General features: G+C 34.2%; 1 pseudogene across 4 annotated transcripts in view; it reads left to right on the forward strand.

The window, feature by feature from the left end:
- The window catches only part of SEPTIN7P13 (septin 7 pseudogene 13), a 41130-nt pseudogene that overhangs the window by 2641 nt on the left and 23091 nt on the right, over window positions 1–15398 (forward strand). The window contains 4 exon segments of one of the 4 annotated variants that reach the window (NR_136592.1): window positions 525–724; window positions 7152–7252; window positions 8150–8284; window positions 13950–15237. The product of NR_136592.1 is annotated as a septin 7 pseudogene 13, transcript variant 3 (transcript). 4 annotated transcript variants of the gene reach the window in all.

A 15398-nucleotide genomic window follows, 5' to 3' on the forward strand; every position in this document is an offset into this window, starting at 1 on the left:
ATTTAGGCTGATGGGCGGCAAAATTAGAAAGTATTTTTTGTGATTTAGAATTTTATACGGAGATGTTCATTGTGATTAATTATTCTTTGTATTAGCAGATTTTTGCTTTTTATAGCTGCATGATTTCTTGTTTATTATTCATTCATTATTGTCTATTAATAAAGAAAAACTTTATTTCACTGAAGCAGTGATATATAATCCAACTTGGATTTTTAAATAATGACTGACTTTTTTTCTTTGGGAATACATTACTGTTAAAAATGTAATTATTAGATACATTACTTTTAATGAATATAAGTGGTATAATTAGAAGGCTGAAAAGAATCCTTGGAAATGTGAGTTTAATTTGATAGCTAAGAAACTGAGGACAAGTTACTTATTCTTTGTAGCATATTTTCTAATGTCATTTCATTGTCTCACCAAGAAATACTTGCATAAAGCAAGTTCAATTACAGCATCTGTTGAATATTTAAGGTTGAGTAAAGTGGGTGAGTTTAACAGATATTTTCCCTTATTTCTTTTAGGCGAATCTGGATTGGGAAAGTTGATATTAATCAACTCATTATTCCTCACAGATTTGTATTCTCCAGAGTATCCAGGTCCTTCTCAGAGAATTAAAAAGCCTGTACAGGTCTACATATTGGTATTTTTAATTGATGATAAGCTGGAATAATATTAATACACACAAAGCACGTGTTGTAACTTTCATTATGCTTCCCTAGAGGTAAGATGCAAATTTGCCCTTAGCCAGTGTAAGATGGTAAATATGACTTCATAAAATCAAAAAAACAGAGGAAGTACAGTTAATCGAAAGAATTATCTTGACTAGAACTTTCCAAATTTGTCCTAAGGATTCTCCTAGAGATGACACTGTGACATAGTAACCAATTCCCCTGGAGTTGTGCTATGTAGTATGATAGTCATTTGCCACATGTTTAAATCAATTAAAATTAATTAAATTAAAATGCAATTTCTCATTTGCTCCAGATACATTTCAAGTGCTCAACAGCCACATGTGGCAAGTGGCTGCCATTTTGTGCAGCACATATATGAAGATTTTCATCATTGTAGAAAATTGCATTGGACAGTGTAGAGAAAACATGATTCATAGAAAAACTATTGTTATTTAAATAGTGTTCTATATTAGTCAGTGGGATAATACCATATCATAGTTGAATGGCAATAGCAATTCTGTAAAACTCCCATGCTATATGTGATCTAATTTACTGCTTCTCAGTCTTTGCTACGCATTCCAATCCTGGGTATCCTGTTAAATTTATTTCTTCTAGTAGTTCTGAGATGGGCTGCCTTTCTACATTTCTAACAAGATCCCAGGTGATGCTGATGCCGCTGGATGGTAGATCACACTTTATAAAGCAAGGGGCTAGACTCTAGATATGCACTTTTTATTAAATAGTACAGCAGCCTGTAGCCACATGTGGCTATTAATCTTTGAAATGTGGGTAGTCTGAATTGTGATGTTCTGCAAATATAAAATATGCCACAGATTTCTAAGACTGAGCATGGAAAAGAAAATCTCCGTAATTTTTTATATTGATTGTATACTGCAGTGATAATATTTTGGATGTATCGGGTTAAATAAAATTGACTGATTTCACCTTTTTCCTATTTTAAAAGTGGCTACTAAGAAAATTTTAAATTACTTACATGACCGACATGGTATTTTTATTTGGCAGCGCTGCTCTAAGCTGTTGATGAAAAATATTGTTGGTGAGCTCTGCTTAGGTAATATGTAGGACACGAGCAGAGAGGAGGCACGTGAACAGTTCTGGCTGAAGTAGGCTTCATTGAGGCCGTGATGCTTTTAGCTGGATTTGAAGAAGTGGTAGTGAGCATCCCAGTGCACAGGATAGGAGGACAGTCTATATATTCTGAGCAGTAACTCATATATATCATACTGCAAGACCCCAAAGGAGTAATTTTTTGAAGTAAATATCTTATTTCTCCTTTTTAATGTTTCTATTTTGGGAATTTTTTTTTTTTTAGTAACCTTCATAGGGCTTGAGATTTAAAATTACCTGCAAAATTCTACTCTAAAAACTTGATCCTACATGCTTATTTATTTTGTGATAAATATTGGAAATTTTAAACCTAAGCAAGAAAATGAACTTTGAACTTTCTTAATTTGGGTATCTATTATGAATACCTTCACTTAAGTATTTATGAATTTAGATATGAAAGGTAAAACTAACCACTATCCAAATTAATATACAGTTCATTTCCAGAACCCTAGTTTCTTCCATGTGCTCACTCGCATTCAGTATTACAACCCCCAAAGATAAACACCTTACTGACTGCCTTCTCCATAAATTTGCCTGTTCTTGAACGTTATATACGTATACTTTTTTGTATCTGTTTTCTTTCAGTGAAGATTATGTCTGTATTATTTACTCATGTTGGGTGTAGTTGTTTTTTTCATCGTCGTATAATACTCCATTGTGTGAATGTATAAAGTATATCCTTTATTATTTATTGTAGATAAGCCTTTGGGTTTTCAGTTTTTTACTAACGGGAACATTCTTGTGCATGTCTTAGTAGACTTAGGCACTCATTGCTGTTGTGTGTGCATAAAGATATAAAGGTATTTGAGTTTATTTTATTTGATTTCTAGTGAGGTTGAACATGTCTTGTACTCAATAACTGTTCAGATTTCATTAAAGTCTTTTGGTAATCTTAATATTTTCTGTCATTTTCTTGCTGATTTATAGGAGTTTGAAAAATCTAATAATCCCCTACATTTTAGATATTGCAGACATTTTCTCCCCAGGTGAGCATCTGTTAAAGATGTGACATGCCCTCAATTTATTTTAGAATTCTTACATTGGCTTAGCTTCAAAATAAATTGCCTAAACCCATTTTACCTTCCTTTAAAGTAACACTTCAAAAATATCCTCTTCTGTTGTGAATATCTTCCCGGAAACTCTCTTTATCTTGAAAACAAAGGGGTAATGGAGGTACTAGAGAATATCTCTAGTAGGATTTTTAAGACAGGCCTGTGCACCACTGTTAAATATCTTTTCTGTACCAAAAAGAAGACCTGTAACATTTGAGAACCAGATTGATCCTTAGTAGAATCCTGTAGAAGTCCTCTTTCCTGATTGAACCATAGAGGTGTATTCCTTTATATACTGAAAACTAGCTGAAGATAATCTAAACTCTTGTGCCCAGTTAGGAAAGAACATGCCATATTATGGACAGGGTCAGAGTCATTCAAGAAGCCTGAATATAGTTAGAAAATGAGAATGTAATCTTTTTAATAGTTGGCTGGCTCTTTACCAAGCCCAGTAGTCTTGAAGATATAGGGGAAATAGTGTAAACGGTTGTCAAGATGAATCTAAAATGGAAATTAATCAGTTCCCTAGAATAGATTGAGAAATTAGCTTTAGGAAAAAGATAAATTTCACACACACTGTACCATGGAAGGTACAGTGCTGATTCAGACAGACTGGGAATGGTCTCATTTTTAAGTGGTGATGTGAGGTACTTCACTGAGCATTGTGACAGGCACGGGCTTGGGAAGAGCCTATTAGGAAATGGGAGAGGCATGAGACTAAGGAGCACATAAGAGTAATATTAGCAGAGAAATTCTTTTTGAGGTTGAAGGTCATGAATTTTATGGTATAGGAATAGAAAGAGGGGTTAATCCAGAATGGGATTTGAGTTGGAAAGGGAAAGAAATAAAGGTTTTGGGAAGGAGGTTGCTAATAGAAAATGAGAGGGGCAAGGGATTTGAGGTCTCAGTAAGGAGACAGGGATATGAGGAGTGGAGAGGTTCAGAATAGAAAGCCAAATTAGAGTTTTGGGATCAACTTTCTTCTCAGTAAAGTAGTCCTGGGTCTTCGTGAGAAGGAAGTATTCTTCAGGCATAACTGTTCTACTATTGGTTACTTCCTCTTTCATTGTCTTGTGGAACACGATGAAACATTTAAGATGATATTCATCTTTTGAGCCAATAAATAAGGGAAATAGATAGTTTTTGTGTTTGAGCTAAGTGGAGTATCTCAGGCCATTCCAATGTCTTCAGAGTTTTGGCTGTAATGCTACCTCTTGAGCAAGTGTAGGTAGAGGTAAGCTCTTGACAGAAAATTTTAACCCTCTCTTCAAAATGTTATATGCTTAATTAAATAACTTCTTAATTTACCTTAATAAATGGCGTATAAACATTAAGTTAGAAAAGGTTAGTGTATATGAAGCTGTATAATCAACATTGTTTGACTTTTTTTCCTCAGATTGTAAAACTGAAAACTCAGTATACTAATACTCTTGTATACTGTATACACTCAGTATTAGAAAATGAGTACCTTTGATTTCTGGAATCTCGGATGCCAAAAGAGGTCTCAATAGATGAATTATACATAGATGATTCATAGACGATAGTTTTAGTTTTATTTATTTTTCAGGGAAAAACATTTGACAATGTTCTTGATTCATTTTTTTGGTATTAAATTATGCAGCTAATCTTAGAGAACCCTGAGTGATGCCATAAAAGATGTTGATGTGGCCTGCTTAAGGAAAGTGCACGGGAAAGTGGCCATTTGGAATAGATTTGTTAAGAAAAGTTTGAAATTCTTGGACTCGAACTAATTTGTTTTCCATGGATCCCATGAGGATACTTGTAAAAGCAGATGATAGGGTCCAGTTGGATCCTGTGAATGGCACTAGTTTGCAGTTATGTTTTCTGGATCTCTTCCATATGTCGCTGACTTCTTTGTATTTGACCATGTATGGACATACAGAATTTCATAGGCCAGAGAAGAAAAGAAGCTTTATAAACATTCCTTATGTGTGTAAAATACAAATCTTCATTTGTCTTAGCAAGTCAATAAGTAATTAAGTTGTTGAACTGATTTTTTTTTTAAACAGGGAAATATCTTAAAATTTAAGCTGTTAGGTTAAAATGTGTGTTTGGTATACAGCATATTACTGAAGGTAGAATGGGCTTCATTTGGTAATAAAGGAACCAGAAATATTTTTAAGTAAAATTGGGAGATGATTCATGTAGATTAACTATATTTTTGTATCACTTTCTAGAATACAGTACTATGTTGTTTAAAAGAGTAAGTAGGTAAAGGAGTGGTATAATTACTTTGGATATTTCTGCGTCAGCCACAGTTACCATGAATAAATGATCTGTCTTTATAAAGGAGATGGAAGTGAATTCAAGATATTGAGATGTTAGATTTGACTGGGTTGTCCTTTGACTAGAAGATCACCAGATAAAGAAAATGTAAACTTCCTAAACCAGATAAGATGATATTGTTAAAAAATTTTTTTGGCCCAGCACTTTGGGAGGCTGAAATGGGAAGATTGCTTGAACCCAGGAGTTTGAAGCTGCAGTAAGCTATGATCTACCATGCACTCCAGCCTGGGCAACAGAGTGAGACCCTGACTAAAAAAAAAAATTTTTTTTCCTTTGGTTCTCATGATTTCACACTGATGAATCTGATTGTTTTCTCTGAGTCATTTTGCCTCTCTCATGTTATTAGGGTAACCTGATAATAGACATGTTATCTGAGTTATGTGGTATGTAACAGTGATCTTCTAAATGATGTGCATCCATCACTGATACTGAGGATGATCAGAAACTATTACAACTCTTATTTATTGATCTTTACTTTTAATCTACAGATAAATGATAATACATATTAATACTTAATATTCAGATTGCCAATAGTATATATTTGGTGGGTAAATATCTTTTGGATCTGCAAAATTTTCACTGATAGTTTGTATCAGGATCAAAGCAGTTTGAAGAACATTAATCTAAAAGATAAGACTTTGGCATCTCATTTCTCTAAAAGATAAGTCATGCATGTACACACTCAGGCAATTTTTTTCAGTTTTATAAGTTTTATTCTTGATAATAAAATTCTTTTAACAGAAAACTCTTGATTGCTATAGACCTCTGCTGTGTATTCAGTAGTCACTAGCCACATGTGGCTATTTAAGTTAATTCAAATTAAATAAAATTAAATATCAGTTCCTTATTTGCACTAGTCAGATTTTAAGGAGTAAGTAGCCACATGGGCAAGTGGCTACCATATTGGACAGTGTGGATACACAACAATTCCATCATCTCAGAAAGTGTTATTGGATAGTGTGGCTACAGACTTTTCTTGCTCAGCAATCTTAGTCTCCGCATGTTAGTCTCTTCATGCATTAGGTAGCATCTATAAAACATGCCAAAAGGAAATAGGCTATCTCTAAAAGTGTCCCAAACTTTTTGTCTTGTAAATTAGCTTATCAGCATACTTGGAGCCTCTTGCCTTAAAAAGGACTTGATATAAATGTGTATCAGGAGAAAGCCTATCTTATGAAGGAATTATTCCCTTTTTATTTGAATCCATGTTTGCTTTATCTTCGGCTCCTGAAAACTGATACTTTGCATTTAACAGCAGCATATGCCCAGGATGAATGATAATACATCTCCTGATACAGAGCTTGAGGTTACAGAATATCTTAAATTGTTCCAGGAACTGTTGTTATCATTTAAGTCCAATAATCAGTAAGATTTCACCCTACCAGAATACACTTTTTTTTATTAACTGTCTGGACCTTTGCTGATTACATTGTCCGGAATGTGGAGTATCGCATTTGAGAAGAGGATTGGATCCTAGCCATAACATAAATATAAGGGTAATTACATCCATGCTGAGAAAGATTTAGGAATGATAGTAAGTTCATTTGAGTGAGTGGTTTGGGCCAAACTTGATAGAGAATAGTCCAGGAAGACATTTACTATAAACAGTAGATTAAATGTTCTTGCCTGGTTAATTACATTTGAACTCTGTTAATGACTGAATCACTCAAACTGCTTAATTGTATTATTAGATGCACATTTAAGTTATGTATTACATGTCTTTAGTGGTGATCAGAATTTTATCAGTTCCTCTGTCTTTCTTTATACCAAGTATGACTCATAAACCCAGTATTAATTTGCCAAGAGATTGGCATACTATTTGTATATATGCTTTTCTTTCAAATAATCTGGATTCCCAATGCCCACAATCATTGATCCTAAAGAAAATGTGAGAGTAGGTAGATAAACTCAAACATCCCTACCATCACCCCTGGTAGGAAATCACTGGTGTAATGTATGATATTAACATCTGCACCAATTACTCTTATAGGTGGAACAATCCAAAGTTTTAATCAGAGAAGGTGGTGTTCAGTTGCTGCTTACAATAGTTGATACCCCAGTATTTGGAGATGCAGTGGATAACAGTAATTGGTAAAAAGGATTTGTCCTCACAACTTTCCAGTGTATTTGGGGTACTGGGGTGGTTAAACTTTCTCTTCTTAACATTTTAAAACTCTTCTTAGCAAAGGTCACCAAACTTCAAGTAACATGACAGGTTTGTATACCAACTTTGCCACTTATTTGACAAAGTTTAACTTCAAAGTTAAACAAAGAAGTTTAACTTCTTTGAACCCATTTACTTTTTGATAAAATGGAGATAATACCTATCATAAAATTGTTTTGAAGACATATTCCAAAATAACGTAGCTAGATAGAAGAATTCTCATTATTGGAAGAAATTTAAAATGCTTTGCTTTAATTTTATCCATTTGTATAAATTCTATCACAATCCTAATTTAAACCTGATATTTAGACCTTCAGTTTTTCCATAAGTCCTAAGTGAAGAAAACAACTATGAAATTTTAGTCTGAAGTAATTATCTTAGTATTTTATAAATAACTTTAATTTTGTTTGAATTCACATTGTTTTTGAGGTATTTTTCTGTCAACTCTTAAAACTCCTAAGTTCATCATGAAGTTTTTATATTATTTAAGTAATCTCTCATTTGAAATTTGAAACTGAATATAATCGTTTTCATATTATGAAGTGTGTTATTAATACACTTACTAGTGCCAATAGTATGCTAATAATTTAGCTGTGTTTCAACAATAAATATTTTCTTTCATTTGGAAAGTTTTGAAATAATGAATAAAGATTTATTCAACACAATTTATATTTTTGAATCTTTATATAGAATAACTTGACATATCTTCCATTGGTTAATTCATTTTGCCTATTTGAAAATATTGATTATTGTCCTTTAACAGTCATCAGTTAATTCATATGTAGAATTGCAACTTAATTGTTTTGTTTATTTGCATTCTATAGCTGGCAGCCTGCTATCAATTACATTGATAGTAAATTTGAGGACTACCTAAATGCAGAATCGCAAGTGAACAGATGTCAGATGCCTGGTAACAGGGTGCAGTGTTGTTTATACTTCATTGCTCCTTCAGGACATGGGTCAGTAACCTGATACTTCTGATTCCTTTTTGTTGTTGTTGCTTACTGTTACCTTTATGTGCATATTTGAGTAATCTTTAAGTTTGTGAAGTACATACAACTATACCCATTATTAAGTACCAAATTTCATGTAGAAATGTCTTAGTTGAAAAGCCTTTTTAAGTCCTGTGCAAGCTAACAGTGATTTTACTCCTTAGTTCTTATTCATAAGGATTTTCCCTGCTTCATGGAAATAAACAGTGTTGCCACCATGGTTTGAGGTCTCAATGTGGCAAATTTAGCTTTCATGTTGAACTACCAAATAAAGAGAAGCAGCCAAACCAGTTAGACATATTCAAAATAAATCCAGAGATGCTATTTATTATAAGTCTCATAAGAGATGGTTATCAAAAGCACTTGCATGCCAATGTTTTCTTGTGCCATTTCTTAATGCAAAAAATCTGTTTGGCTTCTGTTTCACCTTAGCTGTCATAGACATGTTTAAGTATCATGTTGTCAGTACTAACCTTTTGTTTATTAGGACATAAGACCTAAGAATCTAGACATTAATCTGATGCGATTGTTCTGTTTGTTATAGTTAGCCTGTACTCCCTTTTTTTGTTCTTTGTACTTCCCCTTTCATTTTGAGTACATATATGTGTCATTTGTAACTGCAGATTTTTCCAATTATTCTTCCTCAGTCTTTTCCTTTGGGTAAGTAACTCAGCATACATAATTCAGCCACCTGGTGACTGTAACTCCACCATCTCTCCACCAAAAGAACTGTAGTAGCATCAAGCTACATAGCATTAAGTTATCTAACACTCACATTACAGTAGAGTAAACCAATTCCTTCAGGTATATCTTTCTCTTCCATTTTTGGCTTCTCGCTCTCTTTTTTTTGTTTGTTTTTATAGATGGGTCAATGCCCATTATCACTCTAGATGGATAAGGGAGCCTTAATTATATACTTATATTTTTGCACTGTCAGATTGGAGTGGGGTAAAAATGTTTCTTCTTTTATGTGTAATACTCTTGTTTTTTTTTTGGTTTTTTTTTTTGCTGTGCCCTAGACCATTACATAACTGAAGACTCCCACCTTCAGGCAGGTTTGGGTAGTACACGTTTGTAACTACCTGGCATTGCCTTTTGTTGAAGTAATTTCAGTTTTTATTAGTAGTAGTAGTAGTATACTTTAAGTTCTACAGTATATGTTCACAATGTGCAGGTTTGTTACATATGTATACATGTGCCATGTTTGTTTGCTGCACCCATTAACTGGTCATTTACATTAGGTATTTCTCCTAATACTATCCCTCCCCCATCCTCCATGCCACGACAGGCCCTAGTGTATGATATTTCCCGCCCTGTGTCCAAGTGTTCTCATTGTTCAATTCCTACCTATGAGTGAGAAATACCTATGCGGTGTTTGGGTTTCTGTCCTTGTGATAGTTTGCTCAGAATGATGGTTAACAGCTTCATCCATGTCCCTGCAAAGGACATGAACTCATCCTTTTTTATGGCTGCATAGTATTCCACAGTGTATATGTGCCACATTTTCTTAATCCAGTCTATCATTTTATGGTGTTCTCAGTTTATATATTTAAATCACTAAACTGACTCTTTGACTTAAAAGGCTCAAAAAAAGTCATCTCAAAAATACAACACACTTTATAACCTTTTATAAGTATTTGTGTAGCTTCTTGAATTTATATTTTTAAATCATTCTCATTTAACTTGTCAGGGCCTTTTCCTGAAAGCCAGGAGAGTGAAATCTTAACCTGCAGTTAAGTCAATAAAATTTGTCAGCTTATAACCAATTTTATTATTTTAGATTTTCTGGACTCTCTCCAACTACAGTAATTCTCATGAAATCACATTCCTGCCATCCCCTTGGGGAAAATTTTATTTCTTAAAATTGCATGGGAAATGAGAGCTTTTTTAAAAGAAAAAAAGTTTTATATTCAAATGATATGTAGTGGCTTTGTGCCATTTCTTATTCATCACAAGGGGTAAGATGTTTAAAATTGCTATATCTTATATATAAAAATGTACCTTTGAATAATTTCTCAGTTTAACTATTTTTAGAAATGGAGCAAAGTTTTGCCCATTGGTACATGATATTGTGGATTAAGTGAAAGAATATGAGGCTGGGTGCGGTGGCTCACGCCTGTAATCCCAGCACTTTGAGAGGCTGAGGCAGGTGGATCACCTGAGGTCGAGAGTTCGAGACCAGCCTGACCAACATGGAGCAACCCCGTGTCTACTAAAAATACAAAATTAGCTGGCCGTGGTGGCGCATGCCTGTAATCCCAGCGACTAGGGAGGCTGAGTCAGGACAGTTGCTTGAACCTGGGAGATGGAGTTTGCGGTGAACCGAGATCACACCATTGCACTCCAGCCTGGGCAATGAGAGTGAAACTCCATCTCAAAAAAAAAAAAAAAGAATATGACACAGAATTTTATGTATAGAGTTCCAGGTACCCTGCTCACTACAGACTGAAATTCTGTGCAGTCTAATAAATGAATCAGAGCCTTTCCATCTTGTCTGGGTAGTCCCTAGGTTCCCTTTTTAGAGGGTTTTGTTTTTAGAGTGATTATAAATTCATCCAACAGTGCACTTTCAGTGCCTCCTACCTCCCTCTACCAAGTATGAACTGCATGCATGGCTGATATATGATTTTGGCTATTATCGCTTCATGTGCATTGTTCACTATTTTGTAACTGTTATTAAAGTAAAATACTGACTTGGAACATGAATTTTAAAATGGTGTTTTATCCTTCTAGTATTGATTCCCACTTTTAGAAAAATTGGTGTCATTCAGTGAGTTTTATATAGAAGGATTTTTTCCCTTAGAAATACATACATACATACATACAAAAAAAATTTGTTATTTTCCCTGTAGTTGTTTATTATGCTGTAGAATTTGAGGCTAAATAGTCTTTTCTCTCTGCTGTGGGTTTATCTTCTAGAAATGATAAAGGATTTTCTATTGCTTAAAAACAAGATTTAAAAACTAAATTTGTTGACGAAAAGACTAGCCAATATAAATCTAAATGGACAGAGGGAAAAAATTCAACCAGAATGTAATACACATGTGAACTAAATGTTTTCTGTTGCTGACGTTTTGTAGGCTTCTGAAATTTAATGAGACTTTTACAAGGTTTACCTTTTTTCCTAGAGTTTAATTTTTAAACTGACTTAAATGTTTTTTGACACTTTGGTTATATTTAAGAAGTTGACTTCTCTAATTTCCTTGTCATGTTTATTTTTAAATATCTTTCTCTTTAAAAGTTGGGATACTATAATAAATATTCAGCAAGTATTTTGTGTTTAAATATAAAATCTTGTTATTTGGATTTTAATACTTTATATATAGTATTTATATATAAATATAATATAAACAAAACTAAAGACTCTATGAAAGAATCAAATGGATTTTCTATAACTGAAAATTTCAATGACTAAAATTAAGATATTACCAGATAGGTTTAACAGCAAATTCCATAAAGTTGGTAAGAAAACAAGAATACTCAAAAAATGGAAAGAAGTAGAAAATAAAAGCACTGAGAAGCATAGAATGCAAATTTAGAAAAGAGCTTAAGAGACATATCAGACATGGTAAAAGGTTTAACACACATATAATCAAATTTTCCTAGCTCTGTTCACGGAAAGGGCCTGGGAGCTGCAACACCTCAACAGCAACGAGCACACCTGCTACCTAGAACTTGGTTTCTAAAAACCATCCTCCTCTAAAAGGAAACAGAGCTCTTTGAAGAAATGGTAATTTCAAAGCTAGAGCACAGAAAGTATAAGATGAGCCCAGAATATCTTTTTGTACAAGAAAGTAAGGCAATGCTCAAAGAATGATGGAGACATGCCCAAAAAAAGCAGAGAAGCCAACTTGAAAAGATTCCAACAGGCCAAATATGGGACAATTTGAACATCAGAATAAAATGGTGACAGTCACAGAATTATAACCCATTGAAGAAAGGAATTCATGACATCATATTAATATAAATAATAATTGAATATTGAAATTCGTTAAAGGAAATGAGATATTTATGTAGTCTTAAGGTATCTTCTCACAAATTATGTATTACTTACAAAGGGGAAAAGTGCACCTTGACATGAGAATCTTGGCAGAACCACTTTAATCAAGAGGTTTAGTTGAGCATTATCAGTAACAGAGTAAATCAAAATCATGAGCCACTTGATAGATACAATGAGAAAATAAAGCATCACTTCTGTGACACCCTATAAAAAATGAATCTAATAATGAGGAAACATTAGAAAAAAACCAAACTGAGGGATATTCTACAAATAAATGGTCCTGTAATCTTCAAAAATTTCAAGGTTATAAAAGTCAAGAAAAACAGACAATCTTTTCCAAACTCAGGGGAACTAAAGAGGCATGAAATCTAAATGCTTAATTCTGGATTTCATCTTTTTGATATAAAGAACAGTATTGAGACTATTGATAAAATTTGAGTGGGGTCTGAAGATTCATTGGTAGTAGTAAGCTCAATTTAATTTCCTCACTTTGATCATTGTACTCTGGTTTTTTAGAATGTTCTAGTCAACAGGTAATATGAATTAAACTAATCGAGGGTGACAGGGCATTATATCAGCCACTTATCAACAAACATTTCAGAGAAAAATAGTTCCTTGTATTGTTATTGCAATTTTCTTTGAGATTGCCCCCTCCAAAACAGTAAGAACTTTCAAAAACAAACAAATATATCAAGCCACAGATTCAAAGTGCTATAAACTCCATGCATGATTAGTTCTCACTCATAGGTGGGAATTGAACAATGAGAACACATGGACACAGGAAGGGGAACATCACACACCAGGGCCTGTTGTGGGGGAGGGGGAGGGGGGAGGGATAACATTAGGAGATATACCTAATGTTAAATAACGAGTTAATGGGTGCAGCACACCAACATGGCACATGTATACATATGTAACTAAACTGCACATTGTGCACATGTACCCTAAAACTTAAAGTATAATAAAAAAAAAATCATACCTAGGTATATCACAATAAAACTTGACCTCAGAGTTTCTAGCTCTCAAGGCCAATTCCTCCCATCCTGCCACTAACAGATTTCTCCAAACATCTCTGCACCTCAGAGTGCAAATACCATCAAACATTTCACTCCATTGATAGGAAGCATCCTTCACTATCTTCTACCAAGGCCTTTCTCCTTTGTTGCTTCAAAATTTTTTATGAAAGGAACATCCATTTTATTCAAAGCACCTCCAAACCTGCAGTCCTAAGTTCCAGGCAACTCAATCCCAAAAATCCACTGTAGATGCCCAAAGGGTGGGGTGTTCGGTCTTCAACATTTTTGCCTTTATGGCTCCCAGTCAAGATAGAGCTGCACCAAGTCCAATTCCATTCCTCATCACAGATGATTTTTTCTACTTTAAGATCAGAACTATACAAGCTTCTTGCTTTGTGTCAGCATGCTGTTGTACCCATGGGCAAATTCTTAGGTAAGACAAAAACACAGCCCCAAGGGCAGGTAGTAATTTTTTCAGAAAAAGGTAAGGCAATCATTTATCTCAGTCTGCCCAGGACAGTCCCAATTTACACATGTATATTCTCCCAATCTGTAGGCTGTCTTTTCATTTTGTTGATTATTTCATTTAATTTTTTATTATTTATTTATTTTATAGAGACAGATCTCATTATGTTGCCCAGGGTGATCCTTGATCTCCTGGCCTCAAGTGATCCTCCAACCTTGGTCTCCCAAAGTGCTGGGATTACAGATGTGAACTACCACACCCAGTCAACGTGCAGAAGGTTTTCAGTTTGATGTAGTCTGATGTAGTCTCATGTATTTATCCTTGTTGTTGTTGCCTGAGCTTTTGGTGTGATATCCAAAAATATCATTGCCAAGATCAATATCAAGAAACTTTCCCCCTATGTTTCTTACAGAAATTTTATGGTTTCAGATTTTTCATCTATTTTGAGTATATTTTTGTGTATGATGTAAGATAAGGGTCCAGTCTCCCCAGTGTTGGATATCCAATTTTCATAACACCATTTATTGAAGAGATTATTCTTTCTCCACTGTGTTTTCTTGATGTCCTTGTCAAAAATTAGTTGACTTTTATATGCTTGGGTTTATTTCTGGGCTCTATTCTGTTTCATTGCTTTACATCTCTGTTTTCATGCCAGTGCCACAGTGTTTTGATTACTATAGCTTTGTAATATAATTTGAAATCAGAATGTGTAATACCTATAACTTTGTTTTTTGCTCTAAAGATTTATTTATTTATTTATTTATTTTTGCCATTTCAGGTCTTTTGTGGTTTCATATGAATTTCAGAATTGTTTTTCCTATTTCTGTGAAAAATGCCATTGACATTTTGATAGGGATTGTGTTGAATCTATATATTGCTTTGGATAGTATGGATGTTTTAACACTATTAATTCTCCCAATCCATGAACATGAAATATCTTTCCATTCACTTGTGTCTTCTTCAATTTCTTTCATCAATGTTTTATAGTTTTCATTGTGCAGATCTTTCACTTACCTGGTTAAATTTATTCCTACAATTTCATTCTTTTTGATATTAGGGTAAATTGAATTATTTTCTTGATTTCTATAAATTATTTATTATCATACTCATACTTGTCAGGCCTCTGGGCCCAAGCCTGCATGTATACATCCAGATGGCCTGAAATAACTGAAGAATCACAAAAGAAGTGAAAATGGCCAGTTCCTGCCTTAACTGGTGACATTACCTTGTGAAATTCCTTCTCCTGGCTCAGAAGCTCCCCCGCTGAGCACCTTGTGACCCCCGTCCCTGCCCACCAGAGAACAACCCCCTTTGACTGTAATTGTCCACTACCCACCCAAATCCTATAAAACAGCCCCACCCCTGTCTCCCTTCACTGACTCCTTTTTCAGACTCAGCCTGCCTGCACCCAGGTGAAATAAACAGCCTTGTTGCTCACACAAAGCCTGTTGGTGGACTCTCTTCACACAGATGCGCAAGACAATACTAACACCAATATTATTTTGATTCGTCAGATGGAAAAGTAAGGCTTGAAGAGGTTAGAAATAACTTTTCCAAGGTCACAGAGCTAATTGCCACAACTATAACTCAGCTCTAGTA

The sequence above is a fragment of the Homo sapiens genome, chromosome 1 (genome assembly GCF_000001405.40).
Source record: "Homo sapiens chromosome 1, GRCh38.p14 Primary Assembly".
Taxonomy (NCBI): Eukaryota; Metazoa; Chordata; class Mammalia; order Primates; family Hominidae; genus Homo; species Homo sapiens.